We start from the raw sequence: 27,272 nt of genomic DNA on the forward strand, positions 1-27,272 counted from the left end.
TGTCCTACCCCCTTTCCCCAGTTCTCTGACATTTCTGACATATATTAGAATATATATGGTAATTATGTGCCATATTCAATATTTTTTATACTTTCCTTTTACAGGAATAAACATATAAAATTCCAATTCATTGACTTGTTAAACTATGTTAAATAAGAGATTGATATCTAAGAACACAAAACAGATTTCAAGGCTTATTTGGACAAGAGGTAGTTACTCATGATGAATAGGATGTTGTCCAAAGCCTCTGAACAGATAGAACCCAATATGAACCTTCAATTTTTTTTTTCACTGATCGTCTGAGCCCTCAAGAAGCTGCAGAATGCTGCGATCTTTAACTAAAAAGATTCAGAATAAGGATAACACTACAATTTTATGAGACAGTGTTTATGGCTATAGATGAAATGTATCAGAATGACAACTGTTCTGCATTTTTAAAATAACTTGTGGAAGAGTAATATCTAATTCAGGAAAAACAATCGACCTGGAAAACATACAGTGGTTTCTTTCACATTGGATAGAATCAAGCTTTGAGGACAGAAAGACAGAATTATGAAGCTTCAATTTGTAAAGTTGTTTCAATTGTCATCATTACGGTGTCCTTCTCTGTAAAATGGATATATATTTGGGGTTGCTTTAAGGCTAAAAGACTTAGAGTGTGGAATCATTTTGGAATTTGTAGTTCTACATGCTCAATATACTATAATTCCCTTTACTGTCCCCCATCTTAGTATTGTATTTGCTAGTTATCACTGTGAATGAGTTGGATCTTCACAATACTCTTGTGAATAGAAACCTGACTTCTCCCAGATAAACAAACTAGATTTCACAAATGGTTGCATGATTATTCTCTATAAGGACAATCTAATAACAGGTAATGTGTATTAAACATGTATATATCAGGCACTGTTGTTAGCCCTTCATATTCTACAACTCTATTTGTTATATGTTACTATTTTTTCTCATTTAATATGTGGTCCAACTAAGGCTTAGAAGAAAGTTAAATAATTTTCCCAATATCACATTGCTGATATGTAGTACAGCCAAGATAAAATTACATTTATCTGATAGCCACAAGTCAAGGAAATATTACACACTACTGGCTTTACTGTAAATAAATGGGTATATTTTGCCATTAATAGTCATAGCAATAATTTATGTTTTATGGCATCTAGTCTTTTAATAAAATATTCATATACATTCTCTTTTTGTATACTTAACAACCTTGTGAAGGAGATGTGTCTCAGTTTATCTTAATTTTGTTTTCTAAAGATACATTTAGACTCAAATAAGTCACTTGTCCATGATTATAGATTAGCTGGTACATGGAAAAGGTCTTCTGATTCTAAACACAGCATTGTTTACATTGCACTTTTCTCTCTGCATATATCGATTATTAATGTTTTTCTTGCAAAAACCTCATATATTGTACGCCGTGGGAGTAATAACGTAGCATTTGACTATTGCCCTTAGGGAACAAGCTAAGAGCATTTAAGTTCACTTTTGTGTCTAATAATTTTAAGTTTTATTTGGCCTTCAGATGTTTTTGAAAAAGATTTTCCCCAAGTTATGAAATTAAGCAGTTTAAGTATGTATTTATTTTCTATTTTCAGTTGCATTCATATAGTATCATGAGATAGCATATAAGGGAATTTTTAATATTTTGGGACCACTGGCACTTTGAGCATGATGAAAGATCTGGACTCTCTCCTTGAAAAAATATGTATGTAAAGAAATGTTTTTTATACATACTCAGGCATTTTGAAGTCTTAATTCAGGCATTTTGAATTCTCTATGAAGCTCACGTTTCATTCCCAAGTTAAGAACCACTTTCCTTTCACAACCTTATCACCGTTGCTGGCACTAACTGTTAGCATTCACATTCTAGGCACTTTATACTTGGTATTTTATTCTAATAACAGCCATATGAGATGGTTATAATTATCAATTCAAATTTATGTATGAGGAAATAAAGTTGTAGGTTGTATACTCATGAGCATTTTTCCCAAAATTACAATATCTGAGTTCTACCTGTAATAGTCTTTCATGTTTTGTACATATTCTTTCAAATAATTTTTTAAAAAGTTGACCCCAATTAGTCTAGGAATGATTCTCCAGGAACCCCATATGTGTATTTCCCTACCCATGGAAAACTCTCCTTTATTGCAAGCCTGATTTTCAATCATTAGTCTGATTTCACTGATAGTGTACTAGTTTTAGAAATAGGTCCATGCCAATGGTTAAATCTTGTTGTTCTATTTTTTAAATCATTTTTGTTAGAAAACCATCTATTTTTTATAGAGGTTAAAACTTCTAGATTGTAGTGACTGAGATAGCATAAAAATAGTGCTAAATATAATCAAGTCAATTTATCACATATTAATATTCAAAATTGCATGTGCTACTGAATTTAGTACTTTAGTACAATTCAATATTGATGAGGAGAAAAATCCCTAGCCTTTTATCTTTATGGAATCCTTTGTCACTGCTAAATGATCATTGCAAATGTTCCTGAAGAAAGCCTGATGACTTATCTCTTCATGGGCATCTTACTGTTAAAACACATTTCCTTTCAAAGAATATAGATAACCATGAAAATAGCAAAATAGTTAAGATACAGAACACTCTCGGGGTCCATTTGTCAAAGTTAAATTATAGCTGTCTCAGTTTATTCTTGTCTGCTCTTTCATAATCCAGAAGAAATAATCGAAATGATAGTGAGTTAGAATATAAATGGAAATAAAGCTTAACTCTCACTCTTGATATTGATATGCAGTCTGGTAATGCAATTAGAATATTCCTGCACATAAGTAATACCCTAACATTTCTGTATTGATTATTCTCTCAAATATCATGCCATCTAGCCCCAGCATATTTTGCCATGAAAAGGAAAAGTGGTTTGCTGCACCCCTTTAATAATACCAATTAATTGGTAAATAATACAAAATTTTTTAAATTTCATTTAACAGCACTTTGTGGGGGACAATTCTCTGTATTTAAATGGCAATCTTATTTTTAAGCATCAAGGTCTAAGAGCTCAGGATCTGTAGACTGTATGCTTACTGATTATTTTAAACTCAATTAATACCTTTCTTATTCTCCTCAACCCTTTCTTCTTATGTCTATACCTTCCACGCTTAGGCTTAAAACATAGTAACATTTATCCCAGTCTAAGACAAATGTCAGCAGGTTCTGCAACAGAAATACACTAGAAAGAGGCATAGCCTTATATAGGAAACATTTGACACGTACCAGATGGTTTTTTGACATCATATAATCTCTTATTTTGATCTTTGTTCAGATTATAAAACGTCTGCAAGGATTGGAAAAAAAAATCTTAATATACCATGCTGATGGTCCTCTTTTGTAGATGGGAAAGCACTAAATAAGTTTCTTAAATCTGTGGTTTTCAGTCCTGTATGACCAAAGAATAATCTATGAAGCTTGTAAAATATATGTATACTCAGCCCTCTGCCCTAGAGATTCTGATCCATAGCTCTACTGAAAAAGTGAATTGGAATATCTGGAGATGGGGGCTTAGGAATTATTTTTTAAGATCCACAAGTGATTCAAATGGGTAAAGTTAAGCCGATAGGGTTAGGTAATTTTCCAAGGTTACCAAAGTATTACATAAATGGCAATACAGAAAGCATGTCTCCATATTTAGGGCACTAGATATTTAGGTCAAGCCTCATTTGATGTTCTTTTAATGCATTGAGTTGTCAGCATCATTCTATCTAAGAAGAGCCACAAATTTACCATCCAAAATATTCAATGCTAGCAAAAAGCCTCAACATTTCTCCAACTTTATAAGAGGTGTTATATAACCTGAATATGATTGTTGAATTAAATAGAAGTATATGGATTATTTATTTAAAATTAATCATTGAATTTAATATGCTATTGTATGTTCTCATTGTTAACCATGTAGTATGCAGTAATGAAATGACTTTGGAGTAGTGTTATAGACTATATGTTTCTGTCCCCCAAAATTCATATGTTAAAGCCCTAATGTCCAATGGGATGGTATTAGGAGATGAAGCCTTTGGGAGGTAGTTAGGTCTAGGTGGAGTAGTGAGGGTGAAACTTCCATGGTGGAATTAGTGCCCTTATAAGAAGAAAAAGAGACAAAAAACTCTTTTGCTTTCTCTGCCATGTTAGGATAGAGCTAGAAGGTGGCTGCCTACAAGCAAAAAGATTGGTTCTTTCTAGACAGTGATCTGTGAGGACTCTGATCTTGGACTTTTCAGTCTCCAGAAAATTGAGAAATAAATGTTTGTTGCTTACGCCACCTGGTCTATGGTATTTTTGTTACACCAGCCCAAACTAGGTCAGGTGGTAAGGGTCTTTGTATGGAGCAGATATGGTAGGTAAGAATTCAAAAAAGGTAAAGTGGTAGCAGGTAGAATTCTACTTCCTGCTGAGTGACAAATTATATATGCAATAAAATTTTTCTGTCTCAATACATTTAAATTTTTGGAAATTATACACATGTAACTTTAAATGCCTTCCAATTTCTCAAGAAAGAAAATCAATTCCAAAGGGCAAACAAATAATTGAAATAAAATTATTAAGTAAACAAAAATATCCTAGGAGCAAATGTCACATACAAAATTAACTGGCACATAGATATTCTAGGCCTTGGGCCCTAGCAGGTTAGAGTTGCTAAATTTAACTCCCTGCCAAAAGGGTCTGTACTCACGGTGCAAGTATAGACAGACAATGAGCAAAGGGACAGATGAGACATTTTTTCTGCCTCTGCAGTGTCTCTGGATTACAACAAATGTTATAATGATGATAATAAAAATGTCTCCCCTAAGATTTTGTAGCATATAAATATTAGCATAGTATGAGGAAACTCACATACCTCACAATGAGTGTAAATAGACCAAAACATCCATTTTAATTATCTAAGGTATTGTTAAGCTTTAAAATAGAAATATATAAATATGCAAAGATATTGAAAGTAAAAATATAAAAAAATAGATATACTGACACTTATTTTTAAAAGTTGTGGCAATATATTAATATTAGACAATATAATATTTAAGACAAAAATTATTAACACAGAGGGGCATTATTTAATATTAAAATTTTCAATTATATTTATATTATTAGTTCATAATTTAAATATGTTCTATATTATAAGGAATATGTTATATAATACATAATATATAATTTATTAAATAATTTGTATAGTAAATTAAATATATTACCTCCCAAGATGATGTAATAGTTCTACACATATATGAATTAATAAAATAGTTTTGAGATTTATGAAGCAAAACAGCTATTGGAGCTTGAAAGGCATTGCATGAATCTAGGTATTTAATAGGTCAGTCAGGGAAAAAAAGTCTTTAGCAATGTACACTATATTAATTGCACAACCAACAAGGCGAATTCAGCAAGCAAATGTTGACCTCTGTACTCAACAATTATACAATACACCCTTTTTTAAACTACAAAATAAAATTGATAGCCTGCTGACAATGTTCTCTGACCCTTAAGCTAGAAATCAATAATATTTCTTTTTCTTTTGGCTTAGACGCAAATACTTCTAAATTACTCTTTGGTCAGGGAAGAAATAATAATAAAAATTTTAATTACCTAAACTTAACTATAATGAAAATACTGCTTTAAGATTATATGTAATGTTATTATATATAATGTAGTTATAATAACAATTCAGTGGAAAAGTAAATTTACATTGTTATATTAAAAAGAATAGCTAAATTATTAATGATCCAAAGATCTGAATTCAAAAGTTAAGGAAGAAAAGCAAATTAAACCTAAGCAAAGAAGTAATAGAGAAAAAAATAAATTGTTGAAACAGAAAGCAAGGAGTATAAGCATCAATAAATTTAAAAGCCTAATAAAATATATTCTGAAGCTACTGAACAAAAGAAAAACGACTAAAATAAGTAACATTATTAATGAAAAAGAGGATGTAAGTGCAAATGCCAAAATATATTTAAAATAAAAAACAAGAGAATACTATGAGAAAACTGTATGACAATCTATCTTACAATTTATACAAACATATATATTCATATAATTACTAAAACTGACTAAATAATATGGTGATTTAACAGAGCCATTAAAGAAACAGAGTTATTAGTTAGAATGTTCCCAAAGATAAAAAAACAAAACAAAGTGGGGCCATTTGATTTTAGACGTATGTTTTACCAAAACTTATTATAACAAATTTTCTTAATTTTATACAATTCCTCAGAAAATAAATATTGGGTGATTTTTTGGTGCAACAATTTTAGCCTGAAGTTAATATGAAAAATATGACAGTAATAGAAGTGAAAATGATAGGCCAATCTTTCCCATTAATGTTGTAAAAATTGTAAACAAAATAATGTGAGCAAAATCTAGCAACATTTTAAAGTTATAATGGATTATAAACCACATCTATCAAGCATGTTGAAATAAAATAATATTAACCACAGTGGCATATTAAAAATGTATAGACACACAATCTCAAAACAAGATGAAGAATAATATTTGCTAGCTTATACATCTATGGACAACAAAGAAGAGTGATATGGTTTGGCTGTGTCCCCACCCAAATCTCATCTTGAATTGTAACTCACACAATTCCCACATATCATGGGAGGTGCCTGGTGAGAGGTGATTGAATTATGGGGGCGGGTGTTTCCTGTACTGTTCTCATGATAGTGAATGAGTCTCAAGAGACTTGATGGTTTTAAAAAAAGAGAGTTTCTCTGTACAAGCTGTCTCTCTCTTTGCCTGCCACCATCCATGTAAGATGTGACTTGCTCCTCATTATGTCCTCCACGATTGTGAGGCCTCCCCAGCCATGTGAAACTGTAAGTCCCTTTTTCTTCCCAATCTCAGGTATGTCTTTATTAGCAGTGTGAAAACGAACTAATACAGTAGATTGGTACCAGTAGAGTGGGGCATTGCTAAAAAGATACCCAGAGATGTGGAAGTGACTTTGGAACTGGGTAACAGGCAAAGGTTGGAACAGTTTGGAGGGCTCAGAAGAAGGTGGAAAAATGTGGGAAAGTTTGAAACTCCATATAGACTTGTTGAATGGTTTTGCCCAATAATACAGATAATGATATGGACAATGAAATCCAGGCTGAGGTGGTCTCAGATGCAGAAGAGGAACTTGTTGGGAACTGGAGCAAAGGTAGCTCTTGTTATGTTTTAACAAAGAGACTGGCAGCATTTTGCCCCTGCCCTAGAGATTTGTAGAACTTAGAACTTGAGAGAGATGATTTAGGGTATCTGGCAGAAGAAATTTGTAAGCAGCAAAGCATTCAAGGGAAGACTTGGATGCTGTTAATGGCATCAGTTTCATAAAGTAAGCAGAGTGTAAAAGTTCAGAATATTTGCACCCTGACAATACAATAGAAAAGAAAATTCCATTTTCTGAGGAGAAATTCAAGCTTCCCACAGAAATTTGCATAAGTAACAGGCAGCCAAATGTTAATCCCCAAGACAATGAGAAAAATGTCTCCAGGGCATGTCACAGGTCTTAACAGCAGCCCATCCCATCACAGGCCTGGAGGCTTAGGAGATAAGCATGGTTTTGTGTGCCAGGCCCAGGGTCCCTGTGCTGTGTGCAGCCAAGGGACTTAGTGTCCTGTGTCCCAGCCACTCCAGTCATGGCTGAAAGAGGCCAACATAGAACTCGGGCCATGGCTTCAGAGGGTACAAGCCCCAAGTCTTGGCAGCTTCCATGTGGTGTTGAACCTGCAAGTGCACAAAAGTTAAGAATTGGGGTTTGGGAACCTCTGTCTACATTTCAGATGTATGGAAATGTCTGTATACCCAGGTGGAAGTTTGCTGCAGGGATGGGGCCCTCATGGAGAACCTCTGCTAGGGCAGTGAGGAAGGGGAATGTGGGGCCACAGCCCCCCACACAAAGTCCCTATTGCAGCACCACCTAGTGGAGCTGTGAGAGGAGGGCCACCATCCTCCAGACCTTAGATTGGTAGATCCACTGACAGCTTGCACCATGCATCTGGAAAAGCAGCAGACACTCAATGCCAGCCGGTGAAGGCAGCCAGGAGGAGGCTGTACCCTGTGAAGCAGAGGTGTGGAGCTGCCTAAGACCATGGGAACCCATCCCTTGCATCAGCGTGATCTGGATATGAGACATGAAGTCAAAGGAGATCATTTTGGAGCTTTAAGATTTGACTGCCCTGCTGGATTTCAGATTTGCATGAGACTTATATAGCCTCTTTGTCTTGGACAATTTATCCTATTGTATCTTGGAAGTAACTAATCTGCTTTCGATTTTACTGGCTTATGTGTGAAAGGGAATTGCTTTGTCTCAGATGAGACTTTGGACTGTAGACTTTTCAGTTAATGCTGAAATGAGCTAAGACTTTGGGGGACTGTTGGGAACACAGGATTGGCTTTGAAATATGAGGACATGAGGTTTGGGAGGGGCCAGAGGCAGAATGATACGGTTTGGCTGTGTCCCCACCCAAATTTCATATTGAATTGTAACTCCCACAATTCCCATGTGTCAAGGAAGGAACTCAGTGGGACATGATTGAATTATGGGGGTGGGTCTTTCCTACACTCTTCTTGTGATGGTGAATGAGTTGCATGAAATCTGATGGTTTTAAAAAACAGGAGTTTTCCTGCACAAGCTCTCTCTCTCTTTGTCTGCCGCCATTCATGTAAGACATGACCTGCTCTTCCTTGCCTTTCACCATGATTGTGAGACCTCCCCAGCCATGTGGAACCATAAGTCTACGAAGCCTCTTTTTCTTCCCAGTCTCAGGTATGTTTTTATCAGCAGTCTGGAAACGGACTAATAAAAAGAGGGAAAATAAAGCTACTAACAAAATAGAACTAGATAGGAATTTACTTAACATGCTATAATATATTTATTAAAAATTTTCAATAGACATTATATTTTTATGGTAAGTTATCAGATGCATCCATTCAACGCAGGCAAGGATCCCTATTATATCCACTTCTATTTAAGAGTCAACTGAAGGGCTTAACCAGAACAGAGAGAAACATGAATTCAAGGATACAAAAGAAAAAAAAAACACTATAATTTTGTTGATCATATGATGATCATAAAAACTCAGTTTACAAAAGCCAACAAGAAAAAAAATCAAATATAAGATTCAGCTAAAATTAAGCTTAGAGGAAAATGTATAGCCCTTCATGAATATTGATAATCTGTTTCCATTGTCAGAAGCTAAACATATACAGCAAGTCAAATCCGCCAAATAAAAGAAGAAAATAAGAAACAGAGAACTAAAAAATTTTGAAAACGAGTAATAGAAAAATTGAAGAACTTAAATTCCCAAGAACAATAATGAAAAAGACCTCACTAAATAAAATATTTTGAAAAAAAGTATGCCAATACATTCACCTTTTAAAATAAAATAGAACAATTTCTCAAAAGACAGCTGACCAAAACTGATAGAAACAAAGAAAAAGAAATGAAATAAAATATTTTAAAGTCTAGTTGTCTATTAAAGAGAATGAATCTGTAACTGAAACCTTACAAGGAAAATCCCAGGCTTTCATGGCTTCTGGGAATACATCACACATATCCAAAGTCTATGAGAGAACAGAAAAACAATGAAACAATTACTATATTATCAAGGGCAGACAAATAACCTTTTATTTCTATTGCAGCTACAATAATCCGCAGTTATTTGACAGTTCATCACATCAGTCTCTCTCTTTTTCTTTCTCTCTGTCTCCCTCTATGTGTGTGTGTATACATATATATGTATTTAATACACTCTCTCCATATATACATATATAAACACATATATATGCATATATACATGTATATACACATACATATATGTATACATACATATATACACATATGTACGTATATGTATATATACACTCATATATAGTACGTGTACAACACTCTCTCCATATATATGCATACATACATGTATACACACATATATAGATACATTTCTAATTATTAATATTATTACTTCTTTTTCTCAGTTACTTGAAAACACATTACAGGTATAATATGCTATTTTCTAAATATTCCTGTGAATTTCTTTAAAACTGGGATACATAGCTACAATAATCATCCAAATCATGAAATCAGCATTGTATATATTCATTTAATTCGTAGGTCCCATTTACAGTTCACTATTTATTCCAATAATATATATATATTTTTTTCCTTTCTGCTTCAGGATCCAATCTAAGATCACTCATTGCATATAGTTGGCATGTCTCTTTAGTTTTCTTCGGTACTGAGTGATTCCTCAGTTTTTTCAATCTTTTATGATCTTCATAGATTTACAGTATACAGACATTTCGTTCTAGAGGTAGTCCTCTTCATCTGAATCTGTCTAATGTTTTATCATGTCCGTTCTCAGGCCATGCCTTCTAGGGCAGAAAAACACAGAAATAATGCTGTGCTCTTTACTGGAGGCACATTATGTAGATTTTTCTCAACACTCATGGTCTTTACCATTGTTGCCTGTTCATATTGGTATGTGCCTACCTTCTCCATTAAAAACTTACTATTCATCTTTGTAATTGAGAAATACGGGGTGGAGGGGGGAAACAAATATCCCAGTCCACCAACCTTAGCATTCGTTGATGAATATTGTCTGATCCTGCTACCTCCACAATTTTTGCCAAATATTGATTTTCTGTTTTAATCACACTTTGTCTACAGATTAGTTGGCACTATTATAAAATGGGCTTTACCTTCCTCATTTATTTATATGTTACCTAGTGGATTTATATTTAATCAAATATTTTTATTTGTTACTATCACCATTAATTTCAAAACTTACGCTATCTCAGTTATGGTAAGTGGGAACTCATTTAAGCTGGCTTATTTGTTCTTGTTGCTATTGTATTTAGAATACTCCCTTAATTTCTGGTACATAGAATCATTTAAGATCACTTTGACTTTTATCTGACTCAGTCTGAAGTCGGTAATTTTAGTAGGAGAGAGTATCTTGGGTTTCAGAGTGCTCATTGCTACTGGGTGTCATTAGCTCTAGACCTTCTCAGCAAACAGGACTAATATATGATTGATATGATATGATATGATATGATAGATATGTTATTACTGCTACAGTTATATACCATTTATTTATCCATTTATCTATCTATATTAAAACATAACGCTTTCACACTGAAACCTACAGATCTAATCCAACTCCTTAGAGATATTTCTAGTGATTTCACTTTTCACATTTATAGATCCCATCCTTAACAGTAAAAATTTTATCTCCCTTTATCTTCACTACATTTATTTGTTTGCTCAATTTGCTTATGTTTGACCAGTTATCTGTGCAGGATAGCCACCTCATTACCTCTGCTCTTGTCTCATTATCTTCAGCTCCCACCCTTCCACTCCTGCCTTGTTGCCCCTATACATTCTTAGCTGCCAGTTTGCTACTTACCCTTGAGCCCTACTGCCTTTCTTGTCTTTGGCCCTGCTGCCTTCTTAGTCTAGTTATGCTGTTTCTCTTTTGCTTTGCTGCATTTTTGCCCCATCACAGCCTCTGCATCTTTGTCCTCTGCCTTCTTGGTATCAAGCCTTACTGCTCCATCTTTGGCCTATAGCCTACAGTTGCCTGTTAGAGTTTGCCATCATTTTAGCCCTGACAATGGAAAGGGAATGAATGAAAGCGGAAACATTTCAATTCTTTTTATGAGACTAGCATAATTGACCACAAAACTCGACAAGGAGAAATCAGAAAAGTACAATTATAAGAAATAAACACAAAAACCATAATATCATCTCAATAAGTGCAGAAAAAGCATTTAATATAGGAGCATAGGAGCATACCTCAAAAACTAGGCACAGAAAGAGCATACCTCAAAATAATTAAGGCCATATATGACAAACCCACAGCAAAACCCACAACCTAAGTGGGGAAGGTATAAAGCCATCTCTCTACAAACATGAACAAGAAAATGATGCCAATTCTCACCACACTTTTTTTGCTACTCAGCATTTTTTCATTTAAAAATATTATTAAAAATTAGTTTCTGTGACAGGATACTCATTTGATATATCTTTTTTATTATTATACTTTAAGTTCTGGTATATATGTGCAGAACGTACAGCTTTGTTACATAGGTATACACCTACCATGGTGGTTTGCTGCACCCATCAACCTGTCAAATACATTAGGTATTTCTCCTAATGCTATCCCTCCCCTAGCCCTCTACCTATCAACAGGCCCCGGTGTGTGATGTTCCCCTCCCTGTGTCCACGTATCCTCATTGTTCAACTCTCATTTATGAGTGAAAACATGTGGTGTTTGGTTTTCTGTTCTTGTGTTAGTTTGCTGAGAATGATGGTTTCCAGCTTAATCCATGTCCCTGAAAAGGACATGAACTCATTGTTTGTATGGCTGCATAGTATTCCATGGTGTATATGTGCCACATTTTCTTCATAGTCTATCATTCATGGGCATTTGGGTTGGTTCCAAGTCTGCTATTGTGAGCAGTGCTGCAATAAACATACGTGTGCATGTTTCTTTATAGTAGAATGATTTATCATCCTTTGGGTATGTACCTATAATTGGGATTGCTGGGTAAAATGGTATTTCTTGTTCTAGATCCTTGAGGAATCACCATGCTGTCTTCCACAATGTTTGAACTAATTTACACTCCCACCAACAGTATAAAAGCGATCCTATTTCTCCACATCCTCTCCAGCATTTGTTGTTTCCTGACATTTTAATGACTGCCATTTTAACTGGCATGAGATGGTATCTCATTGTGGTTTTCATTTGCATTTCTCTAATGACCAGTGATGCTGAGCTTTTTCTTCATACATTTGTTGGCTGCATAAGTGTCTTCTTTTGAAAAGTGTCTGTTTATATCCTTCACCCAATTTTTGATGGGGTTGTTTTTTTCTTGTAAATTTGTTTAAGTTCTTTGTAGATTCTGGATATTAGCCCTTTGTTAGATGGATAGATTGCAAAATTTTCCTCCCATTCTGTAGGTTGCCTGTTCACTTCGATGATAGTTTCTTTTGCTGTGCAGAAGCTCTTTAGTTTAATTAGATCCCATTTGTCAATTTTGGCTTTTGCTGCCATTGCTTTTGGTGTTTAATTCATGAAGTCATTGCCCATGCCTATGTCCTGAATGGTATTGCCTAGGTTTTCTCGTAGGAGTTTTATGGTTTTAGGTCTTATGTTTAAGTGTTTATTCCATTTTGAGTTAATTTTTGTATAAGGTGTAAGGAAGGGGCCCAGTTTCAGTTTTCTGCATATGGCTAGCCAGTTTTTCCAGCACCATTCATTAAGTAGGGAATCCATTCCCCATTGCTTGTTTTTGTCAGGTTTGTCAAAGATCAGGCAGTTGTAGATTTGTGTTATTTCTGAGGCCTCTGTTCTGTTCCATTGGTCTATATACCTGTTTTGGTCCCAGTAACATGCTGTTTTGGTTACTGTAGGCTTGTAGTACACTTAGAAGTCAGGTAGTGTGATGCCTCCAGCTTTGTTCTTTTTGCTTAGGATTGTCTTGGTGATATGGGCTCTTTTTTATTCCATATGAAATTTAAAGTAGTTTTTTCTAATTCTGTGAAGAAAGTCAATGGTAGCTTGATGGAGATAGCACTGAATCTATAAATTACTTTGGGCCATATGTCCATTTTCACGATATTGATTCTTCCTATCCATGAGCATGGAATATTTTTCCATTTGTTTGTGTCCTCTCTGATTTCCTTGAGCAGTGGTTTGTAGTTCTTCTGGAAGAGGTTCTTCACATCCCTTGTAAGTTGTATTCCTAGGTATTTTAATCTCTTTGTAGTAATTGTGAATGGGAGTTCACTCATGATTTGGCTCTCTATTATTGGTGTATAGAAACGCTTGTGGTTTTTGCACATTGACTTTTTATCCTTAGACTTTGCTGAAGTTGCTTATCAACTTAAGGACATTTTGGACTGAGATAATGGGGTTGTCTAAATATACAATCATGTCATCTGTAAACAGAGACAATTTGACTTCCTCTCCTCCTATTTGAATATCCTTTGTTTCTTTCTCTTGCCTAATTGCCCTGGCCAGAACTTCCAATATTCTGTTGAATAGAAGTGGTGAGAGAGGGCATCCTTGTCTTGTGCCCATTTTCAAAGGGAATGATTCCAGCTTTTGCCCATTCATTATGGTATTGGCTGTGGGTTTGTGATAAACAGCTCTTATTATTTTGAGATACATTCCATCAATACCTAGTTTATTGAGAGTTTTTAGCATTGAATTTTGTTGAAGGCCCTTTCTGCATCTATTGAGATAATCATGTGGTTTCTGTCATTGGTTCTGTTTATGTGATGGATTACGTTTATTGATTTGTGTATATTAAACCAGCCTTGCATCCCAGGGATGAAGCCGACTTGATCGTAGTGGATAAGCTTTTTGATGTGCTACTGGATTCAGTTTGCCAGTATTTTATTGAGGATTTTCACATTAATGTTCATCAAGGATATTGGCCTGAAATTTTCTTTGTTTTTCTTTTGTTGTTGTTGTAACTCTGATAGGTTTTGGTACCAGGATGATGCTGGCCTCATAAAATGATTTAGGGAGTAGTCCTTCTTTTTCTATTGTGTGGAATAGTTTCAGAAAAAAATGGTACCAGCTCCTCTTTGTACCTCTGATAGAATTTGGCTGTGAATCCGTCTCATCCTGGGCTTTTTTTGGTTGGTAGGCTATTAATTACAGCCTCAATTTCAGAACTTCTTATTGGTCTATTCAGGGATTTGACTTCTTCCTCATTTCGTCTTGGGAGGGTGTTAAGTGTCCAGGAATTTATCCATTTCTTTTAGATTTTCTAGCTTATTTGCATAGCGGGGTTTATAGTATTCTCTGATGGTAGTTTATATTTCTGTGGGATCAGTGGTGATATCTCCTTTATCATTTTTTATTGTGTCTATTTGATTCTTCTCTTTTCTTATTAGTCTGGCTAGCAGTATGTCTATTTTGTTAATCTTTTCAAAACCAGCTTCTGGATTCACTGATTTTTTTTAAGATTTTTCATGTCACTATCTCCTTCAGTTCTGCTCTTAGTTATTTCTTGTCTTCTGCTAGCTTTTGAGTTTGTTTGCCCTTGCTTCTCTAGTTCTTTTCATTGTGATGTTAGGGTGTCAATTTTAGCCCTTTCTCGCTTTCTCCTGTGGGCATTTAGTGATATAAATTTCCCTCTAAACACTGCTTTAGCTGTGTCCCAGAGATTCTGGTACATTGTGTCTTTGTTCTCATTGGTTTCAAATAACTTATTTATTTCTGCCTTAATTTCATTATTTACCCAGTAGTCATTCAGGAGCAGGTTGTTCAGTTTCCACGTACTTGTGCAGTTTTGAGTGAGTTTCTTAATCCTGAGTTCTAATTTTATTGCACTGTGGTCTGAGAGACTGTTTGTTATGATTTCCCTTATTTTGCATTTGCTGAGGAGTGCTTTACTTCCAATTATGTGGTCAGTTTTAGAATAAGTGATGTGGTGCTGAGAAGAATGTATATTCTGTTGAGTTGGGGTGGAGAATTTTGTAGATTATCTATTAGGTCTTCTTGGTCCAGAGCTGCGTTCAAGTCCTGAGTATCTTTGTTAATTTTCTGTTTCGTTGATCTGTCTGTTATTGTGTGGGAGTCTAAGTCTTTTTGTAGGCCTCTAAGAACTTGCTTTATGAATTTGGGTGCTCCTGTATTGGGTGCATATATATTTAGGATAGTTATCTCCTCTTGTTGCATTGATCCCTTTACCATTATGTAATGCCCTTCTTTGTCTTTTTTGGTCTTTATTGGTTTAAAGTCTGTTTTATCAGATATTAGAATTGCAAACCCCTACTGTTTTTTCTTTCCATTTGCTTGGTAAATATTCCTCCATCCCTTTATTCTGAACCTATGTGTGTCTTTGCATGTGAGATGGGTCTCCTGAATACAGCACACCGATTGGTCTTGACTCTTTATCCAATTTGGCAGTCTGTGTCTTTTAATTGGGGCATTTATCCCATTTACATTTAAGGTTGATATTGTTATGTGTGAATTTTATCCTGTCATTATGATGCTAGCTGATTATTTTGCCCATTAGTTGATACAGTTTCTTCATAGTGTTGATGATCTTTACAATTTGATATGTTTCTGCAGTGACTGGTACCAGTTTTTCCTTTCCATATTTAGTGCTTCCTTCAGGAGCTCTTGTAACATGGGCCTGGTGGTGACAAAATCTCTCAGCATTTGCTTGTCTGTAAAGGATTTAGTTTCACCTTCACTTATGAAGCTTAGTTTTGCTGGATATAAAATTCTTCATTAAGTTGATCTTCAATCTCTGATATCTTTTCTTCTGCTTGATCGATTCAGCTATTGATACTTCTGTATGCTTCATGAAGTTCTTGTGCTGTGTTTTTCAGCTCCATCAGGTTATTTATGTTCTTCTATAAATGGGTTACTCTAGTTAGCAATTCTTCTAAACTTTTTTTAAGGTGCTTAGCTTCCTTGCATTGGGTTAGAACATGCTCCTTTAGCTTGGAGGAGTTTGTTATTACCCACCTTCTGAAGCCTACTTCTTTCAATTTGTCAAACTCATTCTGCATCCAGTTTTGTTCCCATGCTGGCAAGGAGTTGTGATCCTTTGGAGGAGAAGAGGCTTTCTGGCTTTTGGAATTTTCAGATGTTTTGCTCTGTTTTTTCCTCATCCTCATGGATATATCTACCTTTGGTCTTTGATGTTGGTGACCTACGGATGGGGTTTTGGTGTGGACATCCTTTTTGTTGAGTTGATGCTATTCCTTTCTGTTTGTTAGTTTTCCTTCTAACAGGCCCCTCAGCTACAGGTCTGTTGGAGTTTGCTGGAGGCACGCTCCAGAGCCTTTTTGCCTGGATATCACCAGTGGAGGCTGTAGAACAGCAAAGATTGCCGCCTGTTCCTCCCTCTGGAGGCTTTGTCTCAGAGGACTACCTGCCAGATGCCAGCCAGAGCTCTCCTGTATGAGGTGTCTGTTGACCCCTGCTGGGAGATGTCTCCCACTCAGGAGTCATGGGTGTCAGGGACCCATTTGAGGAGGCAGTCTGTCCCTTAGCAGAGCTAGAGCACTGTGCTGGGAGATCTGCTGCTCTCTTCAGAGCCAACAGGCAGGAATATTTAAGTCTGTTGAAGCTGCGCCCACAGCTGTCCCTTCACCCAGGTGCTCTGTCCCAGGGAGATGGAAGCTTTATCTATAAGTACCTGACTGAGGCTGCTGCCTTTCTTTCAGTGATGCCCTGGCCCAGAGAGAAGGAATGTAGAGAGGCAGTCTGGCTACAGCAGCTTTGCTGAGCTATGGTGGGCTCCACCCAGTTCAAACTTCCCAGCAGCTTTGTTTACACTATGAGTGGAAAACCACCTACTCAAGCTTCAGTAATGGTGGATGCCCCTTCCATCAAGCTTGAGCATACCAGGTTGTCTTCAGACTGTTGTGCTGGCAGTGAGAATTTCAAGCCAGTGGATCTTAGCTTGCTGGGCTCCATGGGGGTGGGATCCGCTGAGCTAGGCCACTTGGCTCTCTGGCTTCAGCACCCTTTCCAGGGCAGTGAACGATTCTGTCTCACTGGCATTCCAGGCATCACTGGGATATGAAAAAAAAAAAAAAAAAAACTCCTGCAGCTAGCTTGGCATCTGCCCAAACAACTGCCCCATTTTGTGCTTGAAACCCAGTGCCCTGGTGGTGTAGGCACCTGAGGGAATCTCCGGGTCTGCAGGTTGCAAAGCCCATGGGAAAAACATAATATCTGGGCTGGAATGCACTGTTCCTCATGGCACAATCCCTCACAGCTTCCCTTGGCTAGGGGTGGGAATTTCTCGACCCCTTTCACTTCCCAGGTGAGGTGATGCTCCACCCTGCTTTGGCTTGCCCTCCGTGAGCCACACCCACTGTCTAACCAGTCCCAGTGAGATGAGCTGGGTACCTCAGTTGGAAATGGAGAAATCACCCACCTCCTGTGTTAATCTTGCTTGGAGCTATAGACTGGAGCTGTTCCTATTTGGTGATCTTCCGTTCTCGCCACTTTTATTCAATATACTACTGAAAGTCCTAGCCAGAGCAATCAGACAAGAGAAAGAAATATAAAGGATCTAAATTAGAAAAGAGGAAGTCAAATTATCTCTGTTTGCTGTGAAATTAGACCTAGAAAACTCTAGAGACTCTTCCAAAAGACTCCTAGATGTGATCAATGAATTCAGTAAAATTTCAGGATACAAAATAAACCTATAAAAATCAGTAACATTTCTATACACCAATAACAAACAAGCTGAGAAACAACTCAAGAAACCAATTCCATTTATAATACCTACAAAAAATATCTAGGCATATGTTTAACCCAGAGGGTGAAATATCTCCGTAAGGAAACTACTAAAACTAATGAGAGAAATTGTAGATTATGCAAACTAATGGAAAAGTATTTCAACCTCATGGACAGGAAGAATCAAATTGTTAAAATGGCAATAGTGTACAAAGCAATTTACAAATTCAATAATATTTTTATCAAACTACCAAGATCATTCTTCACAGAATTAGAAAATACTGTTTTAACATTTATATGGAACCAAAAAGAAGAGTTGGAACAACCAAAGCAATCCTAAACAAGAAGAACAAAGTGGAAGGCATCGTATTACCTGATCTCAAATTATAACACAGGCTATAGTAATTAAAACAGCATGGTACTGGTGTAAAAATAGATAGAACAATGGAGAAGAGAAAACTCAGAAATAAAGGTACATATCCACAGCAAACTAATGTTTGACAAAGTCAATTAGAGCATACACAGCAGAAAGGACAAACTTTTCAATAAATGGTGCTGGGAAAAATTGGATTGTCATATGCAGAAAAATGAAACTATGTATCTTACCATATATAAAAATTGACTCAAGATAGATTAAAGACTTAAATGTAAAACCTGTAACTATTAAAATCCTAGGAAAGAAATCCAGGAAAACTCCTTTGGACATCAGTGTAAGCAAATAATTCATGACTAAGACCTTAAAAGCACAAGTAAGTAAAACAAAAATAGACAAATGGAAGTTAATTTTACTAAAAGCTTCTGCACAGCAAAAGAAAAAATAAACAGTGACACACACCTGCAGAATGAAAGAAAATATTTGCAAACTATACATCTAACAATGACTAATGTCTAGAATTTACAAGGAACTTAACAACAAGAAACAACTCCATTTAAAAGGCAGCAAATGATATGAACAGACTTTTTCAAAGAAGACATACAAATGGACAAAAAGCATATGAAAAAATGTTCAACATCACTAAACATCAAGAAATGTGAATTAAAACCAAAATGAGATACCATCTCATGCCAGTCAGAATGGCTATTATTAAAAAGTCAATAAAAGTTATTGGCAGGGATGTAGAGAAAAGATAATGCTTATATGCTTTTATTGAGAATGTAAATTAGTATACCCTCTATAGAAAACTTAAAATATTTTGCAAAGAACTAAAAATAGAATTATCATTCGATCCAGGTACACAACTGTTGGATATCTACCCAAAGGGAATAAATCATTATATCAAAAAGATACTTGTACTTGTATGTTTATCACAGTACTATTCACAATAGCAAAGATATGGGTCAATAGAAGTGTCCATCAATGGATAATTGGATAAAGAAAATGTGTTATGTACACACAATGGAATACATAACTTAATGTCTTATCTTAAACCACAAATATAACAAAATTATGTCTTTTGCAGCAACATTAATGGAACTAGAGGCCATTATCTTACCTGAAATAAGTCAGAAATAAAAAGTCAAATACTGCATGTTCTCACTTATAAGTGGGAGCTAAATAAAGTATATACATGGACACAGAGTATAGATCATCAGTAGAGACTCAGAAGGGTGGGAGGGTGAGAAGGGGTTGAGGGATGAGAAATTACTTAGTGGTTACAACATTCATTATTCAGGTGATGGTTACACAAAAGCTAGACCTCACCACTATGCAATATATCCACATAACAAACTGCCCTTGTACCTCTTATGTTTATACGAATAATTAAAAGGACCATCCATTCTAAGCAGATTCCCAATTTGAAACCATAATTAGTTACCACTGTAATTTGTTTGTTTTCTTCATTGGAGGTAACAAGATTGTACATTATTTTTCATATTCCTTAATTGTTTACAGTCCATGTATCCCCACTCCCCTACCCACAAGAATATAAGATTCATGGGGATATATATATATATATACATATATATATATACATATATATACACACACACACACACACATATATATATAATATATATGTTTTTCACAAAATTATGTCAAGTACTGAGTATAGTGTATGATACATTATAGACATTTAATAAATATTTTTATATAAACAAGTAACATTAATTTGCTATTTAATTTAATTCTGTATAAATTCACAGTGCCACAATATTTTAGTCTCTTTAACCCAAATTATGTTGCTTGGAATCCTAGCAAAGCCCTTTTTCAGGTGCATATCCAAAATAGGTCTTTTTTTTTTTTATCTTTAGGATTGCTGTGAATGTTAAATCAGTGCTAATATATGTAAAACACTTAGAGTAGTACCTGGTACAGTGTGAACGCTTGAAAAAGTGATCCATGGTTATTTACCATCTTGATCTGCAGTCAGAGGGTGAACTTTAATTCCATTTAGCAGGTTTTTTATCTTTTAAAGCCATTTTAGCATGCTTCCAGCCACCTCCACCCCTGATTCCTACCCCTGAACTATAAGTATGACATTTTTTAAGCTAAGGTTTTCAGTATACTTAACTGGTTTCCATGTAACCTTGCTTAGATGCAGTAATATTACAGTTATCTTCATTGGGGTGCACCCAGTTCATGTATTTTGAATCCAGAATTCACACATGGAATTCAAGTGATTTTTTCAGCCCCTATAATTATATGCACATTCTTTTGTGCAGTTTCTTTCTTTTTTTTATTTTTTAATCTGGGATGAGGACTCTCACAGCTATCATCACACTTACTAGGGTGTCTTTGGCATCGAATGACTAGAATTGTCCCCAGGGGGGAAGGAAAAAGCACAAACTTTCACATATGCTGTGTCTAAAGTAGTTTCAGCAAATCCTCTGAGGACTCATTCTTCAGGGGTAATTGTTGAGCATACTTTTAACAGCTTTTCCTTAATAAAGCATCTTTTTCTTGACTTCCTGAAACTGAATTTTGTGATCTAAGCCTTGTTCTCATTACAGAATGGAAAACATAATTATTTTTCTGTTTTTCTTCTTTTTTCCTGATAAACTATAGCCACTATATTGAGAGATGCTATTTATCTTTAAAGATAAAACTATTGTATTCTGACAGCACAGTGGTTTCCAAAGCAACCCAAGTAACTTACTTGGACACAGTTGTTCTTCTTTCTCACTGGGGGAGAAAGTTTCTAAGCAGCTGCTAACATCACACCTAGAGAAAATGGAATGTAAAATAATGTTACATTTCTCTGTATTTCTACGGGCATTGAGTCTCTCAGCAGGAGCATTTGGGACAATAAAAGAGCTATTGCCAAATGCAAAGAAACTTAATAATCCATAAAAAGTTATAAAATATAAAATATAAACCACTGCCTTCTGAATGATAAGTCTGTGAACAATGTAGTTCTTTAGTAAAGAAGAACGTTTATATGCAAAGCAGGACAAGGTGTAGTTTCAGTGGTGCTGAGCTGGCACTATTTGAAGAAAGGGTACAAACAACCAACAGCAGCAACAACAAATACAAGAAATAAACAAAATCTTGCAATATAGGCTCTGCCAAAATCTGCATATTTATATTTGGGGATTATTCTTTAGTTTATCCCACCTCCATTTTGAAATCCAGTGTTCTTCAGAGATAGAACACATTTAATCAATCATAACAGCTGAACTCAATCACATTTCTGCAGTTTGTTATCATTATTGATATATTGTATCTACCTCCACTCCAAGCCCACAAATTAGCCAGTATAGGGCAGGAAAGATTTGTTTACTCACCCATTATTAGGTTCATGGCTGAGGCACTCATAACAAAAGAGAAATTAATAGAAGAAGATGACTTAATATAAGTTATGTGACAATATAAGAATAGTATAGTACAACAATAGTTATATTGTCACATATGACTTATATTAAGTCATCTTATTTTATTAATTCAAATTACAATTTAAATTTTAATAAGTTCATTAAGCATAAAATAATATTGAAAGAGTAAGAAATTGAGCTTTTCCCGACTTATTGTAGTAGCTCATCATTATTTATGAAGCCCAAATTTGTCATTCATCCTACACTGAAAAGAACCACCCCATTTCTCCCACTTTAAACCATATACAAATATTAAGTCAAAATGAATCACAGATGTAAATGTAAGACCTAAAACTATACAATTTTAAAAATGGAGTAAATATTTGTGATTTTTATTGAGTCAACGGTTTCTTAGTTACATCACTAAAAGCACAGTTGACAAAAGAAAAATAGACAAACTGGAGGGGTGGGACCAAAATGGCAACTAGAAGCATGGTGCTCGGAGGCTTCCATCGAAAAAACCATAACAAGTGTGTGAATCCTTCACCAGCAATCAAGGTATCCAGATTCTGTCATCAAAATGGACTAGAAGGCTGGCATGACCCACGGAGAGAAGGAAGAGCAGTGTGGTGCGGCAGCCCACCTGCGAGCCACAAGGGACGGGGGAACCCCTTTCCCCCAGCCAAAGGAGGCGATGAGTGAGCCCACTATCCAGCAGGGGAAACTGTGCTTTTTCCACTGAACTGTGCAACCCATGGATCGGAAGATCCCACTTGTGAACCCAAGCCACTGGGGCCTAGTGTCCCAACCCCAGAACACGCTGTCTTACAGCCTCTCAGCAGGAAACTCAACTCCCAGAGGGAGGGGCGACAAGAAATAGCTGCAGCCACCTGCTGCCTAAGTCATTTAAGCTCCTGGGGGAGGGGTAGCAACCGGTGCTAGGACTCACAACTGCCTAACTCCCCGTGCAGGGGAAGGGCAGCACCCATCTCTATAGCTCCAGGCTACGCTTTTCCCCTGCTGGAGCCAGGGAGGCATAAAGGCCTAGTCCCAAGACTTCTCCCCACAGTCCAACACACTGGCTGTCATCCGTCATCTGTGGTCAGAGTGCTCATCAAGTCAGACCCTGTCCCATCCTTCCTCACTGGGTGGGGCTTCCCTGCAGGAACTCGAGTAACCCCAGGCAGAGGCTCAGCGACAGAATCTGATCTCCCTGAGTCTGAGCCCCTAGTGGGAGGGGTGGCTGCAGCCTCTGCAAACCAGCAGACTTAGCCTATTCTACTGGTAGTTCTGAGGAATCTGGGCAGCCCAGATGAGTGGGTTTTCCCCCCAGTGAAGCACAGCCCCACCACCAAAGGACAAAGTGCTTCATTAAATGGGTCCTGTTCCCTGTGGCACCAAACTATGTGAGACCCTCCAACAGGGGTTGTCAGGCACCCTATACAGGAGTGATCCTACTGGCAACAGGATGGTGCCTCAAGATCAGAGGTCTCAAAAGAAGGAGCAGACACCCATCTTTGCTATTCTCCAGCCTCTTTTAGTGACCTCTCTAGGCACTGGAGTGAATCAGATGAATAGGGCCCGAAGTGAACCCCCAGCAAATTGCAGCAGCCTATACAAAAGAAGGACCTGACTATTGAAAGAAAGACAAACAGGCAGAAAACAACAACAACTGCATCAACGACAACAAAAGGCCCCCCCAAAAACCCTCCCCAAGGGTCAGCAGCCTCAAAGACCCAAGCTGGACAAACTCACAAAGATAAGACAGAATCAATTTAAAAAATGCTGAAAACCCAAAAGGCCAGAGTGCCTTTTCTCCTCCAAATGATCGCAACATTTTGCCATCAAGGGTGCAGAACTGGATGGAGGATCAGATGGATGAATTAACAGAAGTAGGCTTCAGAAGATGGTAACAAAGAACTATGCTGAGCTGAAGGAGCATGTTCTAACCCAATGCGAAGAAGCTAAGAACTTTGATAAAAGATTTGAAGAACTGCTAACTAGAATAACTAGAGAGGAATGTAAACGACCTGATGAATCTGAAAAACACAGCATGAGAACTTCGTGAAGCATATACAAGTATCAACAGACAAATCAACCAAGTGGAAGAAAGGATATCAGAGTTTGAAGACCACCTTGCTGAAATAAGACATGCAGACAAGAATAGGGAAAAAAGAATGAAAAGGAATGAACAAAGCCTTCAAGAAATATGGGACTTCATAAAAGGACCAAACCTACAATTGATCAGAGTACCAGAAAAATATGGGGAGAATGTAAACAAGCTAGGAAATGTAAGGATGTAAGAATGTAAGGAAATGTAAGAATGCAAACAAGCTAGGAAACACACTTCAGGATATTATTCAGGAGAACTTCCCCAACCTAGCAAGACAGGTCAACATGCCAATTCAGAAAATACAGAGAACACCATTAAGATACTCCACAAAATGCCCAACCCCAAGACACATAATTGCCGGGTCCGTCCCACACACCCGGGCTGAGCAACAGATGAAAGGAGTACTCAGACACAGGTATGCAGTGTAAGAGCAGCTAGGGGACTGCCCGCCACTAGTGGCCGAAGAATGAGCAGTCCCAAACAGCTGGAGCTGCTTGCTTTTATTCAGTACAGACATAATGCCACAAGCCTGGAGCAAACACAGTTTGCAGGTAATTAACATTATTGTTTCCCCTTTCAGGGAGCAGTCACAGTAGAATCGCTCCTGTATAGGCTGTCTGACAACCCCTGTTGGAGTTTCTCACATAGTTTGGTGCCACAGGGAACAGGACCCATGATCAAAGGTCAGCTTCTGGTCAACATAAGTAAACAAGCCTGTTTATGATAAATTCCCCTACACTTCCTTGTATCTACTCCTTGCCCTCTGCCTCAGGGTCAGAGAACAGTTGCCTTCAGCTTATTCTCCCCCAAAGCTATGCAGAGGCTTCTGACCTTTCAGAAGGCCTGCTCTTTTCCCTATAGTTTATCCCACCACTCTGACTGATCTCCTACACATAATCATCAGATTCTCCAAGGTCAAAATGAAGGAAAAGCTGTGAGGTCAGCCAGAGACAAAGGCCAGATCACCTATAAAGGGAAGCCCATCAGACTAACAGCAGACCTTTCAGCAGAAACTCCACAAACCACAAGAGATTGGGGACCAAAATTCAGCATTCTTAAAGAAAAGAATTTTCAACCCAGAATTTTATATCCAGCCAAAATAAGCTTCATAAGCAAAGGAGAAATAAAATCCTACCCAGACAAGCAAGTGCTGAGGTATTTCATTACCACCAGGCATGCCCTGCAAGAGCTCCTGAAGGAAGCACTTAATATGGAAAGAAAAAACTGGTATCAGCCGCTGCAAAAACACACCAAAATACAAAGACTAATGACACTATGAAGAAAGTGCATCAACTAGTGTGCAGCATTATGATGAAAGGATCAAATTCACACATAACAATACTAGCCTTAAATATAAATGGGCTAAAAGTCCCAGTTAAAAGACACAGACTGGCAAACTGGATAAAGAGTCAAGATCCATCGGTGTGCTGTATTCAGGAGACCTATCTTTAATGCAAAGACACACATAGGCTCAAAATTATGGGATGGAGGACAATTTAAGAAATAAAGAGAAAAATAAACTGGACTTCATCAGAATTAAATCATTTTATCTTTAAAGGAACCATAAAGTAGGAAGACAACCTGCCGAATGGAATAAACTATTTCAAATTGTATCTAATAAAGAACTTGAATTCAGAATATATAAAGAAATCTTCCAATTCAAAAATACAAATAACCAAAATAGCAATGGGCAATAAATAAAGATTTCTTCAAATAAGATTTTTTTAAGAAAACAATTAATAAGCACAAGGAAAGGTGCTAATGTAATTTTCAATAGAGAAATGCAGATTGAAACCACATTGAGAAACCACTTTACACTCACAGGGAGAGCTGAGATTAGAAAGACAAACAACACTAGCTATAGGTAAGGATGTGAGGAAATAGGAATGTTCATTTATTGCTGATGGAAATTTAAACTGGTGAGGCTGATTTGGAGAATAGTTCCTCTGTTCCTCAAAATGTTAAATATAGAATGACCATAAGGCCCAACAACTCTATTCCTAAATATGTATGCAAAAGAAATCAAAACCCATTTTCATACCAAAACATGTACATGAATATTCATGGTGGCATTTTTCAAAATAGCCTAAAAGTGGAAGCAAACCAAATGTCCATCAACTGATAAATAGGCAAGCAAAATGTTGTTTGTCCATAAAATGAAATACTATTCAACAATTAAAAAGAAAAAAAGTAGACATGCTACAATACGGATGAACCTTGAAAACATGATCCAAGTGAAAGAATCCATTCATATAAGACCATATTTTTCATTACTCCATTCATGTGAAATCTCCAGAGTAGGCAAGTGCATACAGACAAAAAGTATATTTGAAGTTTCCAAATACTGGGGGGAAGGGGGAATAGGAAATGACTGCTAATGAATACAGAGATTTTTTGGGGGGAAGCGGTGATAGAACAATTCTAAAAGTAAATAATGATGAAAATTATTTAACTGAAAATGTACTAAAACCTGCTGAATTGTACTCTTTAAATGGTTAAACTTCATATTATATAAATTGCATCTAAATAAAGCTGTTATAAAAACACGTCCCCAGAAAAATTGGAGAAAAACATTCATGTTCATTCTTCACTCAACCTCAGCAGCCTGATATTGCTAGTCCTTTTTGCACATAAAAGACTGAGTGCACTGAAGATTATTTATCTAAGATATCATAATTGAGATTCATAATGATACCTCACATCTGAATTGTTAAATATTCTTTTAAGACAATTGAACAAATTGTAATTATAACAGGATTATTTTCTGAATTTTTAAAGTATATTTTAGTGGAAAAAATAATAAAAATTACTGTACAATGGGTAACTTAGAGGGTGCTGAAGTAAGAAATAATGGTGTATCAGAAAATAATGATTTCACTTTAATTTCTCTATACTGTAATTAAGAAAACTAATACTTTTCAAATATTTGTTCCCCAATAATGGTAATAGTGCTACTAATAATAAGTGTAATTATAGTGTACTTATGTGTTGGTTATTACACTAAGCCTGATACACACATGTTTGAAGTTTCTATGATGTAGACTCTATAATGTCTTCATCAAGGAGGATTATTGACATGGAACAATATTTAATGAAAAGCCGAATTAATAATCAATGACAAAGGCATTACAGAATTTTGAGCTCAAAGAGAAATAAGGGATTTTTTGTGCCTTTATAATTAT

The 27,272-nt window shown here is 36.3% G+C and overlaps 1 protein-coding gene across 9 annotated transcripts in view; it reads left to right on the plus strand.

Moving 5' to 3' along the window:
• Positions 1–27,272, plus strand: part of LUZP2 (leucine zipper protein 2) — a 585,586-nt gene that overhangs the window by 340,054 nt on the left and 218,260 nt on the right. The window lies entirely within an intron of this gene.

This window comes from Homo sapiens, chromosome 11, assembly GCF_000001405.40.
Source record: "Homo sapiens chromosome 11, GRCh38.p14 Primary Assembly".
Lineage (NCBI taxonomy): Eukaryota > Metazoa > Chordata > Mammalia > Primates > Hominidae > Homo > Homo sapiens.